This window comes from Homo sapiens, chromosome 16 (assembly GCF_000001405.40).
Source record: "Homo sapiens chromosome 16, GRCh38.p14 Primary Assembly".
Taxonomy (NCBI): Eukaryota; Metazoa; Chordata; class Mammalia; order Primates; family Hominidae; genus Homo; species Homo sapiens.
In genome coordinates this window covers 23171453-23197133 of record NC_000016.10, presented here as the reverse complement: position 1 = coordinate 23197133, position 25681 = coordinate 23171453, and the positions used below count along the sequence as shown (strand labels likewise).

Here is a 25681-nt window from a genome sequence, read left to right as displayed (position 1 = left end):
GGGCTAGACTGGAAGCTCCGTGAGATTGGAATGCATGCCTGACTTGCTCTCTGCTGTGCCCCCACAGCTTAGCCCAAAACAGGGGTTCAAACACAGTATTACTGTCACAGTTCTTGCCAAGCATACGTTTTTGCCAAGTGTAAGGAAATTGCCACTCTGCCTGAGACATGAATCTCCATGTGGTCCTTTGAGATGGGGAGCTCGGAACATTCAAAAGAAGATGCATTGCTCCGGCTGCTTAACCCCTCAGGGTGGGCACTCAGAGAAGAGATGAATCACTAATGGTGTTTCTCATCACTGGCCCAACTTCTCCTCCCACTCCTGCTCTTGCCCCCTGAAGTCTATGCGGACACAGCACCAGAGTAAACACAGTATCAGTGCACATGGGAACTAAGAGTGAAAAGTTGCAGAGTCCTGGCTCTGCCATGGATCGGCTGTGACCTCCAGCAATTCACTTCCCCTCTCTGGGCTTATTTACAAATTGTTTGCAATTGTTTACAAATCATTTGCAATTGTTTACCAATTGCCCTTGTTTACAAATTGAATGTCAGTATAACTCTCAAAATTCTCTTCTTTCCATCCGTAGAGACCCTGCTCATTCATGTATGGGCTGAGGTCCTTTGAAAATTGGACCTCAGGCCAGGTCACTCCCTGAAACCTGAAACTCTTCAGTGGCATCTCACTGGATATATGGGAATGCCACAGAATAAACCTGGCTGCATCTATCAAGGTGATGATGATACAGCCCTGCCTACTTCTCCCTCCTCATCTCCTCCCACTGTCTCCCCACCTCAATAAGCTCCAAGCACACTGGTCTTATTTCTGTTTCTAGAACACATCTGATTCACATCCTTCCCAGGGCCTTTGCCCTTGCTAGTCCCTGGAATGTTCTTGTGTAGACCTTAACATGAATCTTTTGCTCCTTAAATAGCCCTCCTCTTAGAGATCTTTCTGGGCCTTCTTATCCAAACTAACCCCCCCATCCTGACCCCAGCCACTCTGTCTTCCTACTCTGCCTCTTTCTTCCCTGAATAGCAGTCTTTAGGATTTGTAACTAGATCATGTCTGTGTAGTTGTGTACTCATTTTTCATCTCTCTCTCCCCACGAAAATGTAAGTTTCCTAACAGCAGAGAAGACATCTATCTTTTCACTGCTGTGTCCCTGGTACGTAGAAGAGGGCCTGGCAAACAGGAGAAACTCCATGCTTGGTAAGTGGATGAGTGAATCAGCAGGGTCTATATGGATGGAAAGAAGAGAATTTTGAGAGTTATTCTGACATTCAATTTGTAAACAAGGGCAATTTGTAAACAATTGCAAAGAATTGGTAAACAATTGCAAACGATTTGTAAACAATTGCAAACAATGTGTAAACAACTTGTAAACAATTGCAAACAATTTGTAAATAAGTTGTAAACAATTACAAACAAAGCCCAGAGAGGGGAAGTGAATTGCTTGAGGTCACACAGCCCCTCCATAGCAGAGCCAGTACTCTGCAACTTTTCACTTTCAGTTTCCAGATTACTTCTTCCCCATGAAATATGTGCACTGAATTATGATTTCTTGCAGACTTAGTAAGAGCACAGACTACACAGGGACAAAGGCCAGGATTCCAAGTGTGGATTTCCTTTATGACAGGCCCTCCCTTGTCCTGGTGCGAGTATATCTACATATCACATCATTTTCAATTTGCATGGGACCTTTCAAGAATTCCTTTTGGGCATAAGCCAGGCCAATCTGTTCAGTTCCTACCTTCCCTAGAAATGTAATCATAGTGGAATAGTAGTGCTGGAAATTGCAGTGGTATTATTTTGAGGGTAGTAGCAGCAGCAGCAATGGTGGTAGACTGGTAGCAATGCTAGTAACGGTAATAATAGCAGTAATAACAATAGCAACTAGCACTTATTGTGTGCTTGGTATGTGTTATGGCTGAATTGTTTTCTGCCTCAAATTCATATGTTGAAGCCCTAACCCCCAAAGGGATATTATTTTGAGATAGGACTTTAATTAAGGTGAAAGGAAGTCACAAGCAGGGGGCTCTAATCTGATAGGATTGATGTCCTGATCAGAAGAGGAAGAGACATCACAGGCCTCTCTCTGTTGACACACCACAGAGGAAAGGCCATCTGAGGACATGGAGAGAAGACAGCCAGCCTTCTGCAACCCAAAGAGAGAAGCCTCACCAGAACCGAGTCTGCCTGTGCCTTGATCTTAGACTTTCTAGTCTCCAAAACTGTGATAAATAAATGTCTACTGTCCAAGGCACCCAGTCTCTGGTATTTTGTTATGGCGGTCCAAGCAGACTAACAGAGTGCAGAGCAGGTCTTATTCTAAGTCTGTATCTTAAGTCCTGTCAGTAATCTCACATGGGAGATACTATTATTAGTCCCGCTTTATAGACGAAGCGCAGTAACTTGCCCAAGGTCACACAGTGAGTGGCCAAGCTGGGTTTCGGCTCCGTCCAGAATCTGTCACCTGAACTAAGATAAATGTGCGTCTACTTCCCTAATCTGTTCAGCATATCTGGGCTCAACTCCCTTTGGAAACCACCTGTCCTGCATTACTCACCCTAGCTATGAGTTTAAACCAGAGTAGTTCCCTAGCAGAAGGAACCCCAGTGATGTCCCTGTCGCTCTCTCAAAGATGGAAGAAAAGTCAAAAAGGAAAACAAACACTAACTTGGAAGGAAGGAACCAGCATGAACACTGATGGAAACACTGATAGAAAAAGGGGCATCCCTGGTTTCTGGCCAAGTGGGAGAGATCCCGCTTTTCCAGAGGGCTCCCGCATCCCCACTGTCCTGCTGCCCCCATGTCCACTATTGGAGGGCCTCAAGATCTCCTTGGCACAGGTTTCCTTACCATATTCGCTGCCCCCCATGGAGGTGCTGAGAATGGTCTCATTTTCTCTGTTGTTGAAAGTATAGCAATTCCCATGCATCGGGTGGTGGAAAAGCGTGAAATTCCTATGGAGGAAGAAAATGGGTCAGAAAGGGATCTCCCCCATGCATCTTAGCTGAAGTTGGGCAGGGCAGTGCTAATGGAGCCAACTCTCTTTGGGGAGAATGTGTGAGAGATGTGACTCATTTTCCCCATCTTGCTCCTGATCAAATGACAAACAAGGCCCCTCATCCTGGTTGACACACATGGACATAGAACTAGACTCTCTGCCTTCTGTTTTCTCTCGGAATCTTCTCACCTTCATCTCTATCCTGACTTGACATTCTTTGTGCCATGTCTGTCCCCAAATTCCTCCACTTTTGAATTTCTCAGCCAACACTTGACATTTTCCATTAAAATTCTCAGTCCTAGAAAATAATCCCCAGGGCATCATCTGTGCCCTTACATGACTTTGGAACCCAACTCTTAGGGAGACATGATTCCAGTTATTTACTTTTCACAAGAACCAATCTGTCTGCTAACATATACAGATAGGTGAAAGAGGCTTAGTGTTTTATTTTATTGTATTGTATTGTATTTTTATTTCTGAGATAGGGTCTTGCTCTTTTGCCCAGGCTGAAGTGCAGTGGCGCAATTATGGCTCACTGCAGCCTCAACCTCCCAGACTCAAGCAATCTTCCCACCTCAGCCTCCTGAGTAGCTGGGACTACAGGTGTGTGCCATTATGCCCAGATAAGTTTTTGAATTTTTTTTGTAGAAAGGAGGTTTTGCCACATTGCCCAGGCTGGTCTCGAACTCCTGAGCTCAAGCAATCATCTTCCTCAGCCTCCCAAAGTGCTGGCATTACAAGCGTGAGCCACTGTGCCCAGCCCAGGAACACTTTAGAATGTCTCACCCACTGCTCAGTCACTATAAGGGATCTGAGTGTTATCATAAAGGTGAAAGGTTTGAAATCTCACATATTTGAACATGGGCCTTTCTCCTCCCATCCCTCCCTCCATCTCTTCCTTCCTTCCTTAGAACGATGGTTCTTAGTCATCAGTATGCATGATGGTAATATACAAGGTTAGGTTATAGGCACACCATATGACAAAAACAGCAATTACTTTTGTGCCAATCTAATACCTTGTGGGTTGGGTTTTTTTTTTTTTTTTTTTTTTTTTTTTGAGACAAGAGTCTCACTCTGCAGCCCAGGCTTGAGTGCAGTAGTGCAATCTTGGCTTATTGCAACCTCCGCCTCCCGGGTTCAAGCGATTCTTCTGCCTCAGTCTCCTGAATAGCTGGGACTACAGGCATGCACCACCATGCCTGGCTAAGTTTTGTATTTTTAGTAGAGACGGGGTCTCGCTATGTTAGCCAGGCTGGTCTTGAACTCCTAGCCTCAAGTGATCCACCCACCCCAGCCTCCCAAAGTGCTGGGATTTAGAGGCGTGAACCACCATGCCTGGCCAACTACCTTGTTTTTAATGAGTAGTTTAATGAGTTTAAGGATATTTTGATTTTATGTCATGTATACCTCACTCACTGACTCTAGAACACAGCTCCCATGTAAGCAGTTTCCAAAAGGCAGCATCAGTGAGAAGAGCACCTTTTGCTCCCAAGACCTATCATCAAGGCTGTAGGTTCCTGCAAGGGGCCTGGTACTCAGAGCTGCCAGTCCTTAGAGGCTGAGAGAGCAGCATTCTCTCCTGACCTGGCATCACAGGACACTCCATCAAAGAAGCAGGTCACCAGCAGCTCCTCAGCAGAATAGCTCATGTTGATTTTCTTCTCCAGAGGCACCTGTGCCATGATGTTCATGTAGTGTAGCTTATACCACTCCTGAATGGCATTGATTCCCGAGCTGAAGGTGTAGGTGGCACAGTCGGAGGTGTCATTTGAGCACTGTGAATAAGAGGAGATGCGAGGCTGAAGCCATCGGTCCTATCGCTACTCTTCAGAAGGACCATAAGAATGAGTGACTGAGACTCCAGGCCAGATACTCAGGGGAACAGGTTGGATATCTGGGGCAAGGATGGGTTTCCTCTCACTTCTAGGGGTTGGGAGTGATCATCCTCAAGCCTCAAGGACCAAAAAGGGGCTGAGTGAGAAAGGACACAGAGTCCTACTCCTGCAACTCTGCACTACTTGCCCACCAAGGAAGAAGCAAAACCAGCTCTTCAGGGTCCCTAGGCACCTAGGTTTCATCCGATTGATGCTACTACGTTCCTAACAACCTTTCCCATTTCCTATCATATCAAAAGTCAAGACATCTGGATTCCAGCCCAGACTCTGCAGGAGGGGGAGAGACTACTTCTCTGCAGGATCTCAGGCAAGGTATTCTGTGCCCATTATCTCACCCACAAAATGTTGACTGAAACACCATCCTTCCCAACCACGTGTGGTAGCTGGGAGGACCCATGTTTGAAATATACAATGAGAACTTTATAGAGAAGCCATTATACATTCCAAATGTTCTTATCACACAAAGCTTGGAAACTTTTCTAAATGGACAGATGTCAACTGATTTTGGCTGGTTGCAGTGGCTCATGCCTGTAATCCTAATGCTTTGGAAGGTTGTAGTGGGAAGACTGATTGAGGCCAGGAATTCGAGACCAGCCCGGGCAACACGGCTAAACCCCATCTCCATAAAAAATAGAAAAATTATCCAGGTGTGGTGATGCATTCTTGTAGTCCAAGCTACTTGGGAGGCTGAGGTGGGAAAATTGTTTGAGCCCAGGAGTTCTAGGCTGCAGTGAGCTATGATTGCACCACTCCCACCTGAGTGACAGAGTGAAATCTTGTTTCTAAAACAAACAAACAAACATCTATATAAAGAGTTGATTTTGGTATCAAGAAGAGCCTTGCAGATATCCCATGAAAGGACCCAAGAAGACTTTGAAATCTCAATGATTTAGAAGAAGGTCCATTTTTCAGGATTTGGGACTATAGCTACAAGGTCACACAATTGGCAATCAAGCCTATAAGGTATGGACATAGCCCCTGTCCTCCAGAGGTGGCTGGGGCATGGAGAGGGAGAGTGGTGATAGAGTTTGCCCAGGAAGGTACTAGAATTCATTTTCAGTGAATGGCATTTCTCAAGAGCCCCTCAGGCCAGGTGCGGTGGCTCACGCCTGTAATCTCAGCAGTTTGGGAGGCCAAGGTAGGGGGACCACCTGAGGTCGAGGGTTCGAGACCAGCCTGACCAACATGGTGAAACCCAGTCTTTACTAAAGATACAAAAACTTAGCCAAGCATGGTGGTGCATGCCTGTAATCCCAGCTACTCAGGAGGCTGAGGCAGGAGAATCACTTGAACCCGGGAGGTAGAAGTTGCAGTGAGCCGAGATCACACCACTGCACTCCAGCGTGGGTGACAGAATGAGACTCTGTCTCAAAAAAAAAAAAAAAAAAAAAAAAAAAAAATCCCCTCAAATGGGACCAAAAGGGAAAATGAAGTCAAGCCAAGCACCTCATGAAGGCAAGTACTGCACGAATATTGATGTTTCTGCTGTTTATTGTCCGTCTTTTTCTTTTGGGTGCCTGCACCTCAATTTTGCTTTGGAAGAATTTCCTTTCCCCCTCTGGATACAGCCTGGTGAGATTGTCCATGAAGATACTCCACCATCCATTAGCCAAAGGGTGATTAGGTGACCCAAGCTTGACCAACCAGATAGTCCCAAGATGGAATTTGACTCTTAAGCATTAACAACACCAACAAAAACTGAACATATTTGATGCTTCTTTACTCCAGCAGCAATATCTGAAATGACTTTTCATCATTTCTTGCTACCCAGATCCCTGCATCTGCCCTAATTTCTGCCCTTTGAGAGGCCTCCATGAGTTACTGGTTGCCTTCTAATACATTTACCCCCACTCTGCCCCCCACTACTTAAAATTACCTGAATCAGTTTCAGTTGTTTGCAGCTGAATCATCCCAGCTGGGTGTCTTTCCTTTCTTTCCTTTCTTTTCTTTCTTTCTCTCTTTCTTTCTTTTTTTAAAAAATAATTTTACTTTAAGTGCTGGGATACATGTGCAGAACATGCAGGTTTGTTACAAAGGTATACATGTACCATGGTGGTTTGCCGCACCTATCAACCAGTCACCTAGGTTTTAAGCCCCGCATGCATTAGGTATTTGTCCTAATGCTCTCCCTCCGTTTGCCCCCCAACTCTCCCCTTTTTTTTTTAACAGAGTCTCATTCTGTCACTCAGGCTGGAGTGCAGTGGCACCATCTGGGCTCACTGCAACCTCCACCTCCCGGGTTCAAGCAATTCTCTTGCCTCAGCTTCCCAAGTAGCTGAGATTACAGGCATGTGCCACCATGCCCAGCTAATTTTTGTATTTTAGTGGAGATGGGTTTTACCACGTTGGCCAGGCTGGTCTCGAACTCCTGACCTCAGGTGATTCGCCCGCCTTGGCCTCCCAAAGCGCTGGGATTACAAGCATGAGTCACTGTGTCTGACCCCAGCTGGGTGTATTTCTTCCAGTTGGACCACAGGGGCTAGTGGTCAAGGAGAAGAGTCCTGGACCCAGCCCATCCCATGCCCCTAAGCAGTGAAAGAATGAGAAGGTGAAATCTTACCAGTTGGAATCCCACCACTTGCTTGGACTCGATGTGCATGACATTTGAAGCCTTGTGAATGATGCTACCGCCGACTTTCCGCTTCCTCCCTGTGAAGAAGTCCCTGGCCTTGCCCTTCTCATCCTGATCAAAGATCAGCAGCGGAATCCGGTGGGAGAATCTAGGCTGCTTTCCCTCTGAGACGGAGTTCCAGGACTCCGCCTCTCGGCGCTTCCGGGACTCTGGAAAGCCATACAGGGACTTCAGGGCCTCTCTGGTCTCCTGTTCCAAGTCAGCTAGAAGGTGGCGAACGGTGCTGTACCTGCCAAGGTGGGGAGGAAAAGTCAGGGAGAGGGGAGGCGGCCCTGGCAGAACTCTGGTGCTCCTCCAGGCTGTTTTCCATCAACACGTGTCAGCCTCATGCCCACCTTTCCCAACTCCTTGGCAGAGGAGACCACGCCTTTCATGACTTGACCCATCCAAAGTGACCCCTGGCTCTGGCAAATGGGGAAAGGCTCATGGGTGACCCATGTGTGACTTCCTGTGGCTTCACCTCTGCCACCACTGTCTGCTTGCCCTCAGGGTGTGTTGACAAGTTTGTCCCAACCAGCATTTCTGTAGTGGTGACTGTCAGGTGCCTCCCATAAACCAGCCACAGTGAGGACAAGTAAATAACTGCCAACCAGGAGTCTACCTAATGGGCAGGCTCCTTCTCCACCCAGCTCACTCTGCCTCTGCCCACTGATTGTCCTCAAATCTGTGCTGGGGGGAAGGAGGGTATAACTGTTACCTCGATGACCCCCAAGAACACAAAATAGTTATAAAGGAGTTGCCTGCGTGAAGCACAATATACCATCTTTTAATTTTCACAAATCAAATGGTTCCAGCCTCCTCTTAACTCTCTCCTCTCTCCTTTCTCCCACTTGCTCTAGGCATAGGCAGCAGAGCATAGCAATTGAGAATAGAAACCCCTGGGTTTAGCCAAATTACCTGAGTTTAGGTTCCCCATCCTGGTACTGGCTACCTGACCTTGGACAAATGTCTTAGCCTCTCTGTGTTTTAGCATTCTCCTTTGTAAAACGGGATTTGCTGGGAAGGTTCAATGAGTTTATTAAATATAATAAACACACACAGACATACATATAGATAATTAAATGCCCTCTATTATTGTTATTATTTTAGAGACAGGGTCTCACTCTGTTGCCCAGGCTGGAGTGCAGTGGTGCAATCATGGTTCCCTGCAGCCTAGAACTCCTGGGCTCAAGCAATCCTCCCACTTCAGCCTCCTAAGTTGCTGGGACTATGAATGTGTGCCATCACACCTGGCTAATTTAAAATAAAATATTTTTAGAGAGGGGGCCTTGCTCTGTTGCCCAGGCTGGTCTCGAATTCCTGGCCTCAAGCAATCCTCATGCCTTGGCTTCTGAAAGTGCTGAGATTTCAGGCATGAGCCACTGTGCCTCTATTGTTAGTTATATTAGTGTTATTATATTTATTAAGACTTTATTCCTCCACTACAGTATAAGCTCCACTAGGGCAAATACTGTGTTTGGGTTGTTCAGTTCTCTATCCCAGAACCTAGTACAGTGCATGACAGTTTATAGATGCTGAGTAAATTATTATGGAACAAATAATGGATGGAAAGAAGGAAGGAGGACCAGAGAGAGAGAGAGAAGGAGGGAGGGAGAAAGAAAGAAGAGGAAGACATGGAGGGCGGAGAGAGAGTCTTAGACTTGATCTTGATTTTGAGCTTTGCACCAACTCACTGACGATTCTGGACAAGTTAGTTTCGTTTGATAATCTTTCTCCCCTGTTCTTCTTCCCTTCTCCCCACCCCTGCTCTGACAAAGTCTGCCTGATTCTGACCTGCCTCACGGACCAGTTTTCCATAATCCTGAGAAGGACTCTGATGACCCATTTAGAACAGGTCCTGCCGAGGATGATAGGGCAGTCCCAAGGGCTGATCACACCCAGGGCCCGATGAGCTCAATTAATGGGGCTGGGTTTATTCAGATGAGGGTTTGGGGCAGCTGAGGTGCTTACAGAAGTCACCTGGGTGTCACTTCTGAGTCAGCCTTGAGCTCACTTATGCTGCAGGCAGAGTGAACATGTGAGCTCGGAGAGCCAGGGGTGCAGATGCAGATGGGGGTTGGCTAATTTGGGCTTGATATGGGGAGTGTGCAGAGGGGGTTAGTTCGTTCCAGGCCTCTTCTAAGTGAAACAAATCCTGCAGCTTCCTCTTTCTGCTCTCTCTGGGCTAGCCCATCCTCAGAAGTCATTGATGGAGTGGGTGTGGTGGTTCACTCCTGTAATCTCAGCACTTTGAGAGACCAAAGTGGCAGCACCACTTGAGCTCAGGAGTTTGAGACCAGCCTGAGTAACATAGCGAGACCCCATCTCTTAAAAAATAAAAAATTTTAGCTGGATGTGGTGGCATGTGCCTATAGTCCCAGCTACTCAGGAGGCTGCAGTAGGAGAATTGCTTGAGCCCAGGAGGTCGGGGCTGCAGGGAGCTATGATTGCACCACTGCACTCCAGCTTGGGTGACAGAGTGAGACCCTGCCTCCAAAAAAAAAAAAAAAAAAAGAAAAGGCCAGGTACTGTGGCTCACACCTGTAATCCAAGCACTTTGGGAGGCCAAGGCGGGTGGATCACCTGAGGTCAGGAGTTCAAGACCAGCCTGGCCAAGCATGGTGAAATCCTGTCTCTACTAAAAACACAAAAAAATTAGCCTGGCGCTGTGGTACACCCCTGTAGTCCCAGCTACTCGGGAGGATTGTTAGAACCTGGGAGGTGGAGGTTGCAGTGAGCCGAGATCGCACCACTGCATCCCAGCCTGGGCAACAAGAGCGAAACTCCATCTCAAAAAAGGAAAAAGAAAAGAAAAAAAACAAGTCACTGATGGTCTGAAAACTTGGTACATACAGATTTAGAACTGGGGAGGGGGCTGTTTACCAGCGTTAGCAACAAATTCAAATTTCTAGAAAGCACATTTGTAGGCTGGAATCGACCTCCAGGCTGCCAGTGTGTCACTTTCGGGAGGGGCTTTGGCCTCTGTGGGGGGCCTGGCTCCCTACTCGCGTTTCCCTGCTCATGCCTCTTACTTGTAGGGGTTGATGTTGCAGATGGTGACTGCAGGAAAATCCAGCTTCCGGAAGTGGACTTTGATGGAAACTGAGACAGTATAGAAGGAGAAGACGAGGAGGGCGCACTGCCAGAGGATGAGGGCCACGGCAGTCAGTGTGAACCCGATCCAGAGGAGGCGGCGCAGACGGCCGCGGGACACCACGATGCGGCGACAGCCATGGGTGTTGGTGTTGAGGCAGTACCACCGCATCAGCTCTTTAATGGTCGGCGCCTGAGGGCCCGTCACGGGCAGATTCTTCTTGATTTTGGCTTTGATCTTCTCTCCGGGTGCCATGGCGAGGATGGGACTTTGAGGACGGGACTCTGAGGACGGGCGTGCTGGAGGGGCAAAGAAGAGAAGCAGGTGAGCTGGCAGGCACTAGCCGGCTAGTGTGTCCCTGGAGACCACAGTCTGGGAAACACCAGTCCATGCGCCCTTAGAGACCTCCTTCCTCTGTTCCTCTGTGGCTTAGGCACTTTGCATTCTGAATCCTTGGCCCCTTTTCCACGGGACGTTTGTTTTTGGCCACCACAGCTGCCAGAGAAGCTGCCTACTTCTCTTACGGCCCCCAGGCCTAGCCGTGCGGGGGCTGGGTGAGGTGCAACCTGCGAAGCGCTGGCTGGACAGGCTGCAGGACCTTTCCCCGGGTTCCTGGGCAGGAACTCTGGAAGCAGCCCCATCAGCTCTCTTATCAGGCAGGGGTACCCGTGCCTTATCACCTCCAGTAGCCCGCCTTCCTCAAGGGCAGCATTCCTATCTCATTATGCCCCCTGGTTCCTAGCACAGTGTCTGGCACAGAGCAGTGCTCGGCAGATTGTAACTGACAGATGAAATCTGCCAAGAAAATTTCCCGGCAGCCACCTTAGATCATGTTCCTGGCTGCATTTTCCCCAGCCTTTTCTCTGAGGCTTTATTATAAGTGAAACGATTTCTCTTTTGTTTCTTCTCTTTACAGTCAAGCTCTTAATGTTTCTAGATCACCTGATGTAACAATAACCTGCAACTATTGGCCACTTAGTGTTTGCCAGGCATTGTGCCATATTTCCTTGATTCTAAGATACCATTAATTTAGAGAATGCCCTTGATTTAATAACAGCTTTGGGGGAGAGTACCAGTATTGGAAGGCAAATTATCACATTCATCAATGTGCACGATGCATCTCAACTATACAAACTTTACAATGAGAAATAATTTTAGAAATGAACTAATATACTACATAAAAACTCATTTCATGTTTATAATATATAGTCTCATTAGTCTCATAAGTAAATTTGTCTCTCTCTATAAATATACACATAGCCTACATATATTTCCTTTTGTGTTTCAATAATTCCATGAAGTAGGCATGCTATTATTATATCCATGTTACAGAGGAGAAAAATGGGCTCAGAGAGGTTGAATATCTTGTGTAAGATGATGCAGCTGGTTAGTGGAGGAGCTGGATGGAACCCTGCAGCCTTCACCGCTATGGCATACGCCTTTGAGGGGCCTGGTAGTACGCTGGGTGCAGGGAGTTAATTAACAATACCAAGAACTAAAGGTAGGAGGAAAGAGAAGGAACACAGCTATTTAATTTCCAAACTCTGAACAGTGCACATGACCACTTCCCAAGACTTGTGAGCACTAGTATTGGGGGTGGGGGATATATGAAAACTGTGTCGTCCTATGCCTTCTACAGTGACAAAGGCAAATTAGGACATATCCTAGGGCATACAGGGTGGTCCCCAGGACCAGAGAGGACCCATGTCTGTGACTTCGATGTGCCCCATCAAGATTTTTAGGCAGTATTCGGAACCTGCAGAGTTATGTCTTTTTTTCCCACCCTGAACCCATGAAATATGGGCTAAAATTGGAAGCTGGGGCAAAGCTAGGAGGCTTCCAAGCTTATGATGCTAGTGGGTTTAAGGCCTCAGATGGAAAGGAAATGGAGTGCTGGGCATGGAGGTGAGATGTCCAGAGCAGACAAACTGCTCTAAACCCTCCATAGATTGATATGATTTTGCTGGGATGAAGAACACCATCAAAATGATGCTAGTAGCCTCTGGGCAAGAGGAATATAATTTATTTTTTTATCACTTAAAATATTGCCTATCCTTACCTCCTCCCTCACTACAATCCAAAAAAATAAAAAATGAAATAAAGAAGAAGGAAAGAAAGAAAAAAATTAGCGAGAGTTTGTTTTTAAAATCTAGGTCCAGGTTCAATTGCTTGTCAAATAAAACTGCAGCCCTCCTCTGTGAATGTTCAACAGAAGCTGTGATTCTGGAAGCTCCTATCCCCAGCTCTCAGGGGTACCTCTGCCCCATCAGCCCCTTCCCCAGAACCGACCTTGACCCCAATGGATCAGTCGACAATGTCAGAGGAGCCCCCAAGTGAAGGAAGGGAACTGATCTTGCTCTTTGCAAAACAGATAAAATATTCATATAAATAATATTTCAACTTCAAAGCAAAACAAGACTGTAGCTACCATTAGATTATGCAGCCTGAGCCAATGTGATACCCTTGGTGGAAGAATTACTAGCTGATACCCAGCACTTACTCTTCTAAGTACTTTGCAGCTGTCACCTCATTTAATTTTCACGATAATCGTCTGAGGTAGGTATCACAACCACCTCCATTGTACAAATGAAACAGACGCTGACAGGTTAAGTAGCTTGCCCAAGGTCACACTAGAAAGTGGCTGAGCTGGGATTTGCACCTAGGAGTCCCTTTAACGACTAACTAGGCTGCTCTTCAATCATTAATAATAATAACAGCAGCAGGGAAAGCAGCAATAATGGCAGCTATCACTTATTGATCCCTTTCTGTACTCCCAGGCATCCCACTCAGTCCTTTTCACACACTACCTGATTTAATCCTCACTACAGTTATATGAGGTGCTATTACTTGGCCCATTTCACAGAGAAGGAAACTGAGGCACAGAGGTTAGGTAATTTGCCCAAGACCACACAGGTAGAAAGGATTTGAAGGATTCTTTAGAATTCCAGGGCCCTGGCTCATCGCAGCGGCTCCGTGCACCCCCTCCTCACCTACCACCGACTTTGCCTGTCCCCCATCCCACAGTGCAGGACCCCAAAGCTTGGAGAGGGATGAGAGATTTGCCCCAAGTCTAGCGTTGGGTTCGCTGGACCGGAGAGTTCCCGATCAGTGCCCGTCCCGAAGGGCGAGTCCTGTGCAGAAATCACTTGAACTCAACCTCAGGGCCCTGACCCGAGCTCCTGCCGAGCGACCCCGCAGCCCTGCCCTCCCTGCGCGGAGCGAGCGGGCGCTGTCCTGTGGCGGAAGCCACGTCTGCCCCGGGGGAGCGCCGGCTGAAGGCGCTGGAGCGAATCCAACCAGCCCACTTCAAGTGTTTGCTTCTTTCTGCACCAAGTCACCCCGGAGAAAGCATTCCAGAGGGTAGAAGGAACAGTAGCGGACAGGTCCACGCGACTCACCCCGGCAGGGAAGGGGGCTGAACAGGCGCTGGGCGGAGAAAAGAGGCCAGGTGTGGCCCGGGACCCCCAGACCCCCGGACTCTGAGTGGCTCTCGACTGGCTTCGTGCTCCGGGCCACGGCGTGGGTAGACCCGGGAGAGCTGGCCGCTACCGCCCGGGCAAGGTGTCCCAGCATCCCGGGCACCGGGAAGCCGCCACCGGCTGATGCTGGCTCGGCCACCCACCGCGCTGACGGCGTCCGACGCCCTGGCGCCCGGCATCCGCTCCAGTGCCCAGAACCCCCGAGCTGGTCCGACCCAACCCGGCTGAACTCACCTTTCGGTTCCAAAGGGTCCAAGGCTCGTGCGGGTGCGCTGCTCCTCTGCTCGCTCTCGGGCTAGCATCCCCTGGCAGCGCCACCGCGGGCTCTTGTGGGCCGGCCAGGCCCCGCCCCCTAGGGACCCGCCTCCCCAGGCCCCGCCCCCACCTGCCCAGGTGCTTTCCCCAGGCCGCCAGGCACCTGAGACCGCCCGGAGCGGGCCACGACTTCACAACGCCCCCTGGCGCCCCGAAGCCGCCCTGCGCCCCAGCCCGGCCGCGCTGCGTCTTCCTGGGCCACCGCGCAGTGCCTGCTGCCGCCCCGAGGCCGCCCTGCCATCCTGCATTCCCGCTGGGTCTCTGCGGCACTTACCCCAAGGCGCCTCAAAGCGCCTGCTGCCCCCTATTACTGCCCCGCGACTTCCTTCCACTCCCGTCCAGATGGCAGGTGCCTGCCCTAGCACCAGCAGTAATCCCACGCAGCCTCGCTCCTCGGACTCCCTCCAGACCTGCAGCTTCAGTGCCCACCAGCGTCCGGCTGTAGGCAGCAGGGGCTGTTCAGCCAGGCCACTCATCCTTTGACCTTTTCAGCTGCTTCTTTCTCTTTCTTTCGTTATTTCCTCCTTCCTTCTTCTTTCTTTTCCTCTTTCCTTCTTTTTTTTTTTTTTTGACGGAGTCTCGCTCTGTCGCCCAGTCTGGAGTGCAATGACGCTATCTCAGCTCACTACAACCTCCGCCTCCCGGGTTCAAGCAATTCTCCTGCCTCAGCCTCCCAAGTAGCTGGGGTTACAGGCGCGCGCCACCATGCCCGGATTAATTTTTGTGTTTTTAGTAGAGACGCGGTTTCACCATGTTGGCCAGGCTGGTCTCAAACTACTGACCTCAGGTGATCCACGCGTCTTGGCCTCCCAAAGTGCTGGGATTACAGGTGTGAGCCACCGCGCCTGGCCTGTCCTTCTTTCTCTTTCTCTCTTTCTTTCCTTTCTTTCCTCCTTCCTTCCTTGCCTGCCTGCCTGCCTTCCCGCCCGCCCACCTTCCTTCCTTCCTTCCTTCCTTCCTTCCTTCCTTCCTTCCTTCCTTCCTTCCTTTCTCTTTCTTGCTTGCTTGCCTTCCTTCCTTCCTTCCTCCCTCTTTCTTCTTTCTCTCTCTCCCTTCCTTCCTTCCTCCCTCCCTCCCTCCTTTTTCTTTCTTCCTTTCTTTCTTTCTTTCTTTCTTTTTCTTTCTTTCTTTCCTCTATTTCTCTCTTTCTTTTTTTAACAGGGTCTGCCTCTGTCACCTTGGCTGGAGTGCAGTGCTGCAATCATAGCTCACTGTAGCTGCCAACTACTGGGCTCAAGCGAGCCTCCCACTTCAGCGTCTCAAATAGCTGGAATTACAGAGGTAAGCCACCTTTCCTAGCTTCAGCTGCCTTTTTATAGGGACTCAGATAACTACAAGAAACGAGATTAGAAAACTGCAATTGGGAGGGACCATAGAGACACAGCCCCTTTGTGCCGGGGAGAAACTGAAGCCCAGAGAGAGGAAAGGATCTGTTCTTACCTAGAGCTTCTCAGATTTGAATGTGGTTACAATCACCTATGGATGTTGTTAAAATGCAGATTCTGACTCGATAGGGGTGGAGTGGGTCTTAAGAGTCCGAATTTCCAAATTCCTAGGAGATGCCTTGGTTGCTGGTCCAAGGGCGGTTTGCCCAGGTGGATGGAAACAGGTCCAGCATTATTGGAGAGAAATTTAAAGAAAATCCTCTAAAAAATCTCAGCTGCTTCTTCTAACAATATATGCTCATTGCAAAGAATTAAAACAATAAACTGTGCCCCCCCCTCCCCAAATAAGCATGGCTAACAGTTTGGTTATTATTTGGTGTGTGTGTATGTGTGTGTGTCCACACACACATATTAGTTTTATATATATACACATACATATATAATGGGATTTTGAAACACACACTGTTCAAATTCTATGTTTGTTTTGAATGACAATACACAGTTATATTCTCACTGCAAAATAAAGCCAGCTTTTTCTTCTTTTTGTCTTTTAAATTATTTATTTATTTATTTATTTTGAGACAGGGTCTTGCTCTGTCACCCAGGCTGGAATGTAGTGGCATGATCATGGCTTACTGCAGTCTCAACTTCCTGTGGCTCCAAGGATCCTCCCACCTCAGCCTCCCAAGTAGCTGGGACCCCAGGTGCATGCCACCGATACCCAACTAATTTTTTTTTTTTTTTTTTTTTGGTAGAGAAGGGGTTTCACCATGTTTGCAAGGCTGGTCTTGAACTCCCGAGTTCAAGGGATCTACCCATCTCAGCCTCCCAAAGTGCTGGCATTATAGGCATGGAATTAGGCTAGATTCAAGTTAAAATTTATATACAGTGAAACGCACAATTTTTTTGTTTGTTTGTTTTTGAGGCAAGGTTTTGCTCTGTCACCCAGGGTGGAATGCAGTGGTGTGATCATAGCTCACTGCAGCCTCCAACTCCTGGGCTCAAGCAATCCTCCTGCCTCAGATTACAAAATAGTAGCTAGGACTAGAGGTCTGTGCCACCATGCCTGGCTAATTTTTTATTTTTGTGGAGATGGAATTTCACTATGTTGCCCAGGCTGGTCTTGAACTCCTGGCCTCAAGAAATTTGCCTGCCTTGGCCTCTCAAAGTGTTATGATTGCAGGCATGAGCCACTGCACCTGGCCCAAAATGTACAAGTCAAGGAGTTTTGGTAAATGTGTACACTCCTATGACCAACACCATCTGATTCTTCAGTACAGAGTGGTATTGCCTCTAAACCACTCCTGTCATCATAAGACCATAGGCAACGTCCTCTCCTTCTTGAAGCATCAGTGTTCAGATTTATAAAATATACCTAGAATCTACTTCTCCCCACCTCTGGGGCCACCACCATGCTCTAATTGATCATTGTCTCTCACCCGAATCATTGCCATAGGCTCCTCACTAATCTTGCTAATTCTGCCCTCCACAGCCTCTTGTCAATAAGCCAGTCAAAGAGATTCTTATTGAATTAAGGTTAGATCATGCCATTTCTCTATTTAAACCCATTCAGTGGCTTCTTGCTTCATTTATAATGAAAGCCAAAATCCTTATGGTCATCTGCAAGGCCCTCCATCATCTGACCCTGTTGTCCCTCTGCCCTCGTCTCTTCCTACTCACACTCGCATATTCTGCTTCACCTTCACTGGCCTCCGTGCCATCCTTGCATATGACTATGACCGAACCTAGCCTTAGCAAAGTCATTTGGTTTCAGGCAACAGAAACAGACTCAAATTAGCTCAAGCAGAATCAATAAATTATTAAATGGATGCAGGCAGGGCTCCTTTACAGAATCCAAAGAAACACAGAGGGTCTCAGGAGAATGGGAACCAGGAAAGGTCTGGATCTCTCAGGAGGAGGATTTTGTGGTCTTTTTTTATTTTTATTTTTACTTGAGACAGGGTCTGGCTTTGTCACCCAGGCTGGAGTGCAGTGGTGCGATCTCGGCTCACTGCAACCTCCACCTCCTGGGCCCAAGTGATACTTCCCCCTCAGCCTCCAGAGTAGCTGGGAACATAGGCATGCACTGCCACACCCAGATACATTTTGTGGGTTTTGTAGAGATGGAGGTCTTTCTATATTGCCCAGGCTGGTTTCGAACTCCTGGGCTCAAGCAGTCCACCCGCATTGGCCTCTCAAAGTGCTGGGATTACAGGTGTAAGTCAGTGCGCCTGGCAGAGGATTTTGTGGGCTTTCTTGAATTTTCAAAGCCTGTCTTAGTCTCATGAGTCCTGAAGATAAATTTGATTGGCCACTGGCCTGCCAATGAGCTAGTTTCTTTGGCTCAGGTGTATTCATTCCTGGTCCAATCAGCTAACACTGTGAGGGTAGGAATGGGTAAAACAAATATGACTGAAGAGATTCACCACTACTGGTAAATGGGAAATTCTCAGATCATGTGGCTGTAAGTGAGGAAGAAACCTTAAAACAAGTGAACCAACATTTCCCTTTGTTTTCAAAAAAACACTTCTGGTCCACTTAGGAAAAAGCAATATAGATGAGACTTACATTGCCCCCTAAATACTAAGATTTTAGACTTGCTTGTCGAGAGCAATGGTGTAGAAGCCATTTGCTTGTTTTTCTGCCAATATCCATTCTTTTTATTCTAGAGACATCCCTGAATTTCCTTTGGAGAACCATTCAATCCTATCCACACCCCCCATCCTCATTCATGTGGTTCAACTTAGGTTGACCCCCATCTCTGGCTCTAGCAAATCAGCTTATCTTGTCACTCAGGTTATAGTCTTTTTTTTTTTTTTTGAGATGGAATCTCGCTTTGTCGTCCAGGCTGCAATGCAGTGGTGCTATCTCGGCTCACTGCAATCTCCGCCTCCTGGGTTCAAGTGATTCTCCTGCCTCAGCCTCCCAAGTAGCTGGGACTACATGTGCACACCACCACACCCGGATAATTTCTTTTTTTTCTTTTTTTTTTTTTTAGTAGAGACAGGGTTTCACCATGTTGGCCAGGCTGGTCTCAAACTCCTAACTTCAGGTGATCCACCCACTTTGGCCTCCTAAATTGCTGGAATTACAGGCATGAGCCACCATGCCTGGCCTTTAGGTTACAGTCTTTTGCTCAGGAGTGGGCACAGACAGAAATTCAATCCAATGAGAGTCTGAGAGTCACACCCACCCAAGACTTTGTCTAGAATATTGCAAAGGAGGATGTCTCTTTTTACTGGGACTTCTAGCAGAAAGGACTGTGTGATCCAAGGGCTGTGGAAAGTATCACATAGGGCCTTAGAGTGAAACCAACACAAAGAAAAGCAGAGCCCAGTGATGGAGAGGGTTCCAGCAAGTCTCTGGACCCAGCACTGCCTACAGCTGGGTCTACCTTCTGGAATTCTCAGTCATATGAGCCAATAAACTTGCTATTGTGTTTAGGACATTTTGAGTTGTTTATCTCACTCAAAACCAAAAAAGTCCCAACTAATATAGAGAATAAAAATCCTATCTTCCCACTTGGATGTGGTGATGTCTTCTTCTGTTTCTTAAAGTGAGTGTATTTCATATCTAGTCCCAGATGAATATCTACAAATCTGGGCAACATTTTTATATGCCAAATGACAACAGGGAGAGCCCTGAGCTATTTAAAGGGATAACAGGTAATTAGAACTCTGACAGGGAAATAGACTCCCCTTGATCCTAGCTCTCTCTCTCTTTTTTTTTTTTTAGATGTTGTCTCTGTCACCCAGGCTGGAGTGCAGTGGCGTGATCTCAGTTCACTGCAATCTCTGCCTCTTGGGTTCAAGTAATTATCGTGCTTCAGCCTCCTGAGTAGCTGGGATTATAGGCATGCTCCAACATGTCAGGCTATTTCTTTTGTATTTTTAGTAGAGACGGGGTTTCATTGTGTTGGCTAGGCTGGTCTCGAACTCCTGACTTCAAGTGATCCACCTACTTCAGCCTCCCAAAGTGCTGGGACTACAGGTGTGAGTCACCGCGCCCAACCAGCTATCTCAATAAGACCCAAAGTTTACCAAATTATCTTCATAGGACCTAAGGCTAATATGAGTCAGGTGTGGGGTCAAAGGGACTCACATTTCCAGGATCACATTTATATTATGTAGTCGGATGGGAGGGTTCTAAGAAGCAATCAACAAGGTCTTCCTTGTTGAAGACAAGGAAAGTCTTTCTTGCTGGGCTGATGAGGGTGGTGGCATGGTAGAAGACCATTCTTATTTATTAATTGGACTCTAATTCAATGACCTGGATACTATTTCTGTGTATAGTCTTAGCTTAAGCCAATAGCATCAGTTGTTGAAATAGAGAAATATAAGCTTGGTTACATTAATTTTCTAGGACCCTTTTTCCCCAAAGGGTACACATATGTTTCTGGCAAAAGTTAGTACCATTTTTCTAGTGTAAGAGACTTTTTTTTTTTTTGAGACAGGGTTTCACTGCTGCCACCCAGGCTGGAGCGCAGTGGCACAGTGTCGACTCACTGCAGCCTCCACCCACTGGGTTCAAGCTATTCTCCTGCCTCAGCCTCCCAAGTAGCTGGGACTACAGGCACATGCCACTGTGCCTGGCTAACTTTTGTATTTTTTGTAGAGATGGGATTTTGCCATGTTGCCCAGACTGGTCTCGAACTCCTGAGCTCAAGTGATCCGCCTGCCTTGGCCTTTCAGAGTGAAAAAACATTCTTTTACTAATTAGACTTTTTTATGGGTCAAGAGAATGCACAGATTACCCATGGTGATGGGGGCTTATTGAAAGCACAACTTCCCAGCTGTGTCGGAGGGGCTTTTATTGCCCTATACCCCATCGATTTGGCCCTTGTAAATTCCACATTTTATCATGCATCACTCAAAACATTCTGCATCCAGCACTTATTTCTAATTCAGGTAAAACTCTATATATTGCAGATATCAGAATCAAACAACCGTGAACTAGCTTAGGCTAAAGAATGAAACAAATTAGCTCATGTATAAGGGAGTCTGGCTTCAGGCTCAGCTTACACTTGAATTCAAAAGATGTCAACAGGTCCTGGTTTTTCTGCCTTTGAGTCTTGGTTCTAATTCATCAGTGTTCACACCATTCTCTGTCCAGTGTTGTTGCAAGATGGCTGCACTAGCTCTAGCTTCTACATATACATAATGCTGAGTCCAGAAGGACTGATAGCTTAAGCACATATTGTAGGACAATCTTGATTGAGCTTTATTGCCTTGTTTGAGGCATGTTTCAACTTCTTTTTTTACTTATTAGAGATGAGGTCTTATTCTGTTGCCCAGGCTGGAGGGCAGTTGTGTAATCATAGTTCACTGCAGCCTTGAATTTCTGGGCTTAAGCCTTCTGAGTAGCTGGGATTAAAGGTGCAAGTCACCATGCCTGGCTGTTTCAACTTCCAGTTGAACACCATGATTAGAAGAATGGGATGCATTGATTGGCTTAGGCTTGGATTATATGCTCTGTCTCTGGGTAGATTCAGCTTCACTCAAAACACAAGGGCTGAGAATGGGGAAGAAGTGGTTCTTTCCAAGCAAAATCAGAATAAATTCTGGGTTGCAAAAACATCTCATATTGCATAATTTCTCTACTGTTGCCTTCTTTGGCACTTGCAACTGATAATTGTCTCAGTGAAACACTCTCTTCTCTTGGCTTCTCCAATGCATTGCTTTCCCTGAAATTCTATTTATACTCCTTTGGAACATTTGTTTTTGTTTTTGTTTTGAGACAGAATCTCACTCTGTCACCCAGGGTGGAGTGCAGTGGTGCGATCTCAGCTCACCTCCCAGGTTCAAGTGATTCTCCTGCCTCAACCTCCTGAGTAGGTGGGATTACAGTCATGTGCCACCACGCCCGGCTAATTTTTTTGTATATATTTTAGTAGAGACGGGGTTTCACTATGTTTGTCGGGCTGGTCTCGAACTCCTGACCTCGTGATCCGCCCACCTCGGCCTCCCAAAGTGCTGCTCCCAAAGGGCTGCGTGAGCCACCACGCCCAGCGTTGGAACGTTTTTGCAATACCTCTGTAGAGTTTCTGGTCCTTAGAGGATCACTGCTGGGGTTCAGGGTCTCAGGAGGCTAGTCACAAGAGATAGCAGGAGATCTCAAAACTTCCATAGAGTCAGAGGAGATATAAAGATATATAAAGTGGCTTAGAAAACTTGGTTAAGCTGCTACTAAGGCTTAGGCATCTGTGGCACAGGGTTGGCTAAATGTGGGATCCAGAGGAGATAAGTAATCTTGCTCCCAAGTTTGACTCTTTCCAGGATTCCTACAAATCTAGAATGATGTCCCTCAGTTCTTGTGGATGTTATCTTGCCCCACCAAGATGGGATTAATGCTCTCTCTTCATGCATTCTTAATGACTTAGTCTTTTGGGGCAACCTACTGTCTTTGACCTTTGGGGAGTAGGAACCAGGGTCCTCAGATTCAGTTGTGTGGATTTCAATTTTTTTGATGCTGCTTCTCTTGAGAGAAGCTGGCTTTAGATATCAGCACTGCGGACAGCAGCCATAGTTTCTCCTTTTATGCAGGAGGTCTCCAGTGGAAGCCTCATCGCCCATGACATGCAATTCACAATTTTGGAATGAATAGATGAAGGAGTGAAAGGGGCATTCTCCAGCCAGTCTATTCAGTCTGTGTGGATGAGAGATATCATGGTCAGATTACCTTTAGAACTGGACATGTACAATCAATTCTTGCTATTTGGGCTAGCTATGTTCTATAAAGCTGCCACAAACACTGAATTAGTGAATACTGAACCATTGCTTCTAGAAGAAATATAGAGTTCGGTTCCCGAGAGCCTCTGGTCACAACGTTGTCATTAACTGATCGATACGTAACTTTGTTTTATGTGTGTTCTTGTTTAAAGTCACCTTGTTTAATATATAGTTGATTCAATAACATTGAAATAATGGCCAACAGCACTATATAACTCATGCCTGAATAAAGCTTACCTAACACATATATTTTTTCAGTAAGGCACATACAGCCTTCCTGTGCTTAGGAATATTAGATAGCACTTCAGCGCTAGGGAGCAAACTCACCAACAAAACAAAAATGTGAAAATTGTGGCAGCCTATATAGGCTGCAAAAAAGGACATGAGTTTACAGTATAAGAGCTGAAACAAGAGGGTAGAGTGTTGCCTTATTTGACCTCAGCTGGGAACAAGCACAGTGGGTGACTAAAATTTTTGCTGCTTGGCACATGTCCCTAAAGGCATTGCAAGTATTGATTTTAGGGTTACAAATAAATTCTAGTGAAATATGAAATCCATGAATAATGAGAATTGACTGGGTTTTTTTTTAGTTTTCTTTAAGCCCGTGGGTTTGTTCTTCATCTTTTGGATTTTTCTCCAAGTCTCAGAACACAAAAGATACTCAGAGGTTATGGAAGATGATGTCCTTACAATGGCCCATAAGGCCCTACATGATTTCATTCACTCTCCCTTTTCTTGAGTCTGAGAGTGTAGAGTTAGGTTATTGATTTGAGATCTTTCTTCTTTTTTAATGTAGGTGTTCACAGCTGTAAATTTCTCCCTAATAACTGCTTAAGCTACATCCTCTAATTTTTATATGTTGTGTCATTTTTACTCACCTCAAAATATTTTCTAATTTCTCTGTTGGTTTATTTTTTAATTTTTTAATTTTTTTTTTTTTGAGACAGAGTCTTGCACTGTCACCCAGGCTGGAGTGCAATGATGCAATCTCTGTTCACTGCAACTTCCATCTCCCAGGTTCAAGCAATTCTACCTCAGCCTCCCAAGTAGCTGGGATTACAGGCTTCTGCCAACACGCTCTACTGATTTTTTGTATTTTTAGTAGAGATGGGATTTCACTATGTTGGCCAGGCTGGTCTTGAACTCCTGACCTCATGATCTGCCCTCCTCAGCCTCCCAAAGTGCTGGGATTACAGGCATGAGCCACCATGCCCAGCCGGTGGTTTCTTTTTTGATCCAATATTTATTTGGGAGTGTCTTAATTGTCACATATTTGTGAATTTCCCAAATTTCTTTCTGTCACTGATTTACAATTCCACTAAATTGTGCTTAGAGTACAACGGCCCCCAAGTGTAGTGCGAAGTGCTATCTAGTATTCCTAAGCACAGCAAGACTGTATGTGCCTTACTGAGAAAGGCATATGTTAGACAGGCTTTATTAAGGCATGAATTATAGTAATGTTGGCCATGATGTCAATGTTATTGCATCAACTACATATTAAATAAGGTGACTTTAAACAGAAACACACATAAAGCAAAGTTACATATTGATCAGTTGATGAAAATGTTGTGACCAGAGGCTCTCGGAAACCTAACTCTGTATTTTGTCTAGAAGCAATGGTTGACCTTCTCCCCATTTTAACCTGAGCTGCCTAATGCACAGTGGGGCTGGGGAGGGGCTGGGGGAAGCAGGGCTGAATCTTGGATCCTGGGGAAAGTTAAAGATGCAGAAGTGATGTCAGCTCTCTGTAGCGCAGTTCCCTTCCTGGTCCTTGCCACACAGCACCTTCTACAGAGACTAGCTCTGTGGGTGGCGGGGGCCCCCACAGGCCCCACTGCTTCCCCTCCCCGCTGCCCGTGCTGCTTCTCTGTGCCTGCTGTTGGAGCTCTGATGAAGGAGTAGCTGGCTGCCTTGTGAGCTGGAGGGGGCTGGGGCATCTGCCTGGGTCTTTGCGGAGAGCTGCTTATGGGTGTGGTCTGTCCAGGCATGTTGTTTCAAAGGCGGTGGACGTGAGCAAAAGCATCCTCACAGTTGATCAATAACTTTTCTTGTTTTTAAACCATCATGTCTTCATTTTACATTGGAATAAAGCGAGTTTTTGAAACCTGCCAAAAAAAAAAAAAAAAAAAAGAAGAAGAAAGAATGGTTCAGTATTCACTAAGTCAGTGTTTGTGGCAACTTTATAGAACATAGCTATCCACAACAGCAAGAATAGGCCAGGCGTGGTGGCTCATGCCAGTAATCCCAGAACTTTGGGAGGCTGAGACAGGCAGATCACCTGAGGTCAGGAGTGCGAGACCAGCTTGACCAATATGGTGAAACCCTACCTCTACTAAAACTACAAAAATTAACCTGGCATGGTGGTGAGTGCCTGTAGTCCCAGCTACTTGGGAGCCTGAGGCAGGAGAATCGCTTGAACCCAGGAGGCAGAGGTTGCTGTGAGCCGAGATGGTGTCACTGCACTCCAGCCTGGGTGACAGAGCTAGACTCTATCTCAAAAAAAAAAAAAAAGAAAAAAATTGTGCATGTCCGGTTCTAAAGGTAATCTGACCATGATATCACTCATCTATACACACTGAATAGGCTGGCTGGACAATGTCCCTTTCACTCCTTCATCCTCCTTACTGTATTCATTTCAACATTGTGAATGGCATTTCATGGGAGATGGGCATCCCATTAGAGACCTCTGGCACTGCATGATTTCAATCTTTTAAATGTACTTGGTTGGGCTTGTTTTGTGGCCTGTCATATGGTCTATCCTGGAGCCTTACATGATTTAGTAATGTTGCCAGAAGGCTCAGGAAGGTCTCCCGATGCCGCTGAGGCCTCAGTCCTAGCCACTGGCCAGATTCTTTACACTGTCGGGAGAAAAAATTCAGGGATGAGTCAGAATGAAGCAAGAAGCTTTTATTGCAAAGTGGGAACACACACTTAAGAGAGAAGGGCGGGCATGCTTGGGAGAACGAATCTCACACGATGGAGTTTGGGTTTCTAATTCTATGGGTGTCTCTTCAATTAGGGGTTGGAATAATCAGTAGGTATTCTGCAAAAGGAGGAAATTTCAGGGACCCCAATTACTGCCTACGTGTTTGCCTGGAAGAGTCATGGACACGTCATCCTGACCAGGGTTTTGGCCATTTTCTCTCCCTTCTTTTGTGTTTTCGGTT

At 46.7% G+C, this 25681-nt stretch overlaps 1 protein-coding gene across 1 annotated transcript in view, besides 4 other annotated features; it reads right to left on the bottom strand.

Moving 5' to 3' along the window:
• Positions 1-14389, bottom strand: part of SCNN1G (sodium channel epithelial 1 subunit gamma) — a 34139-nt gene extending 19750 nt beyond the window's left edge. Inside the window, exons 1-5 of the mRNA NM_001039.4 lie at positions 14321-14389; positions 10546-10906; positions 7463-7763; positions 4592-4782; positions 2860-2963 (exon numbers count right to left, since the gene is read on the bottom strand). Coding sequence (NP_001030.2) covers positions 2860-2963; positions 4592-4782; positions 7463-7763; positions 10546-10862 — 913 coding nt within the window. The 5' untranslated portion in view covers positions 10863-10906; positions 14321-14389. The remainder of the gene's footprint in view (positions 1-2859; positions 2964-4591; positions 4783-7462; positions 7764-10545; positions 10907-14320) is intronic.
• Positions 10381-10880: an enhancer, noted in NCBI's record as "H3K4me1 hESC enhancer chr16:23197575-23198074 (GRCh37/hg19 assembly coordinates)". NCBI's record gives its function as "activates a minimal SCP1, AML or CMV promoter by ChIP-STARR-seq in naive H9 embryonic stem cells {active_cell/tissue: H9 hESC(naive)}" and the evidence as "EXISTENCE:reporter gene assay evidence [ECO:0000049][PMID:30033119]".
• Positions 10881-11382: an enhancer, noted in NCBI's record as "H3K4me1 hESC enhancer chr16:23197073-23197574 (GRCh37/hg19 assembly coordinates)". NCBI's record gives its function as "activates a minimal SCP1, AML or CMV promoter by ChIP-STARR-seq in naive H9 embryonic stem cells {active_cell/tissue: H9 hESC(naive)}" and the evidence as "EXISTENCE:reporter gene assay evidence [ECO:0000049][PMID:30033119]".
• Positions 14418-14667: a silencer, noted in NCBI's record as "silent region_7275". NCBI's record gives its function as "represses an Ori minimal core promoter by ATAC-STARR-seq in GM12878 lymphoblastoid cells {active_cell/tissue: GM12878}" and the evidence as "EXISTENCE:reporter gene assay evidence [ECO:0000049][PMID:35858748]".
• Positions 24405-24906: an enhancer, noted in NCBI's record as "H3K4me1 hESC enhancer chr16:23183549-23184050 (GRCh37/hg19 assembly coordinates)". NCBI's record gives its function as "activates a minimal SCP1, AML or CMV promoter by ChIP-STARR-seq in naive H9 embryonic stem cells {active_cell/tissue: H9 hESC(naive)}" and the evidence as "EXISTENCE:reporter gene assay evidence [ECO:0000049][PMID:30033119]".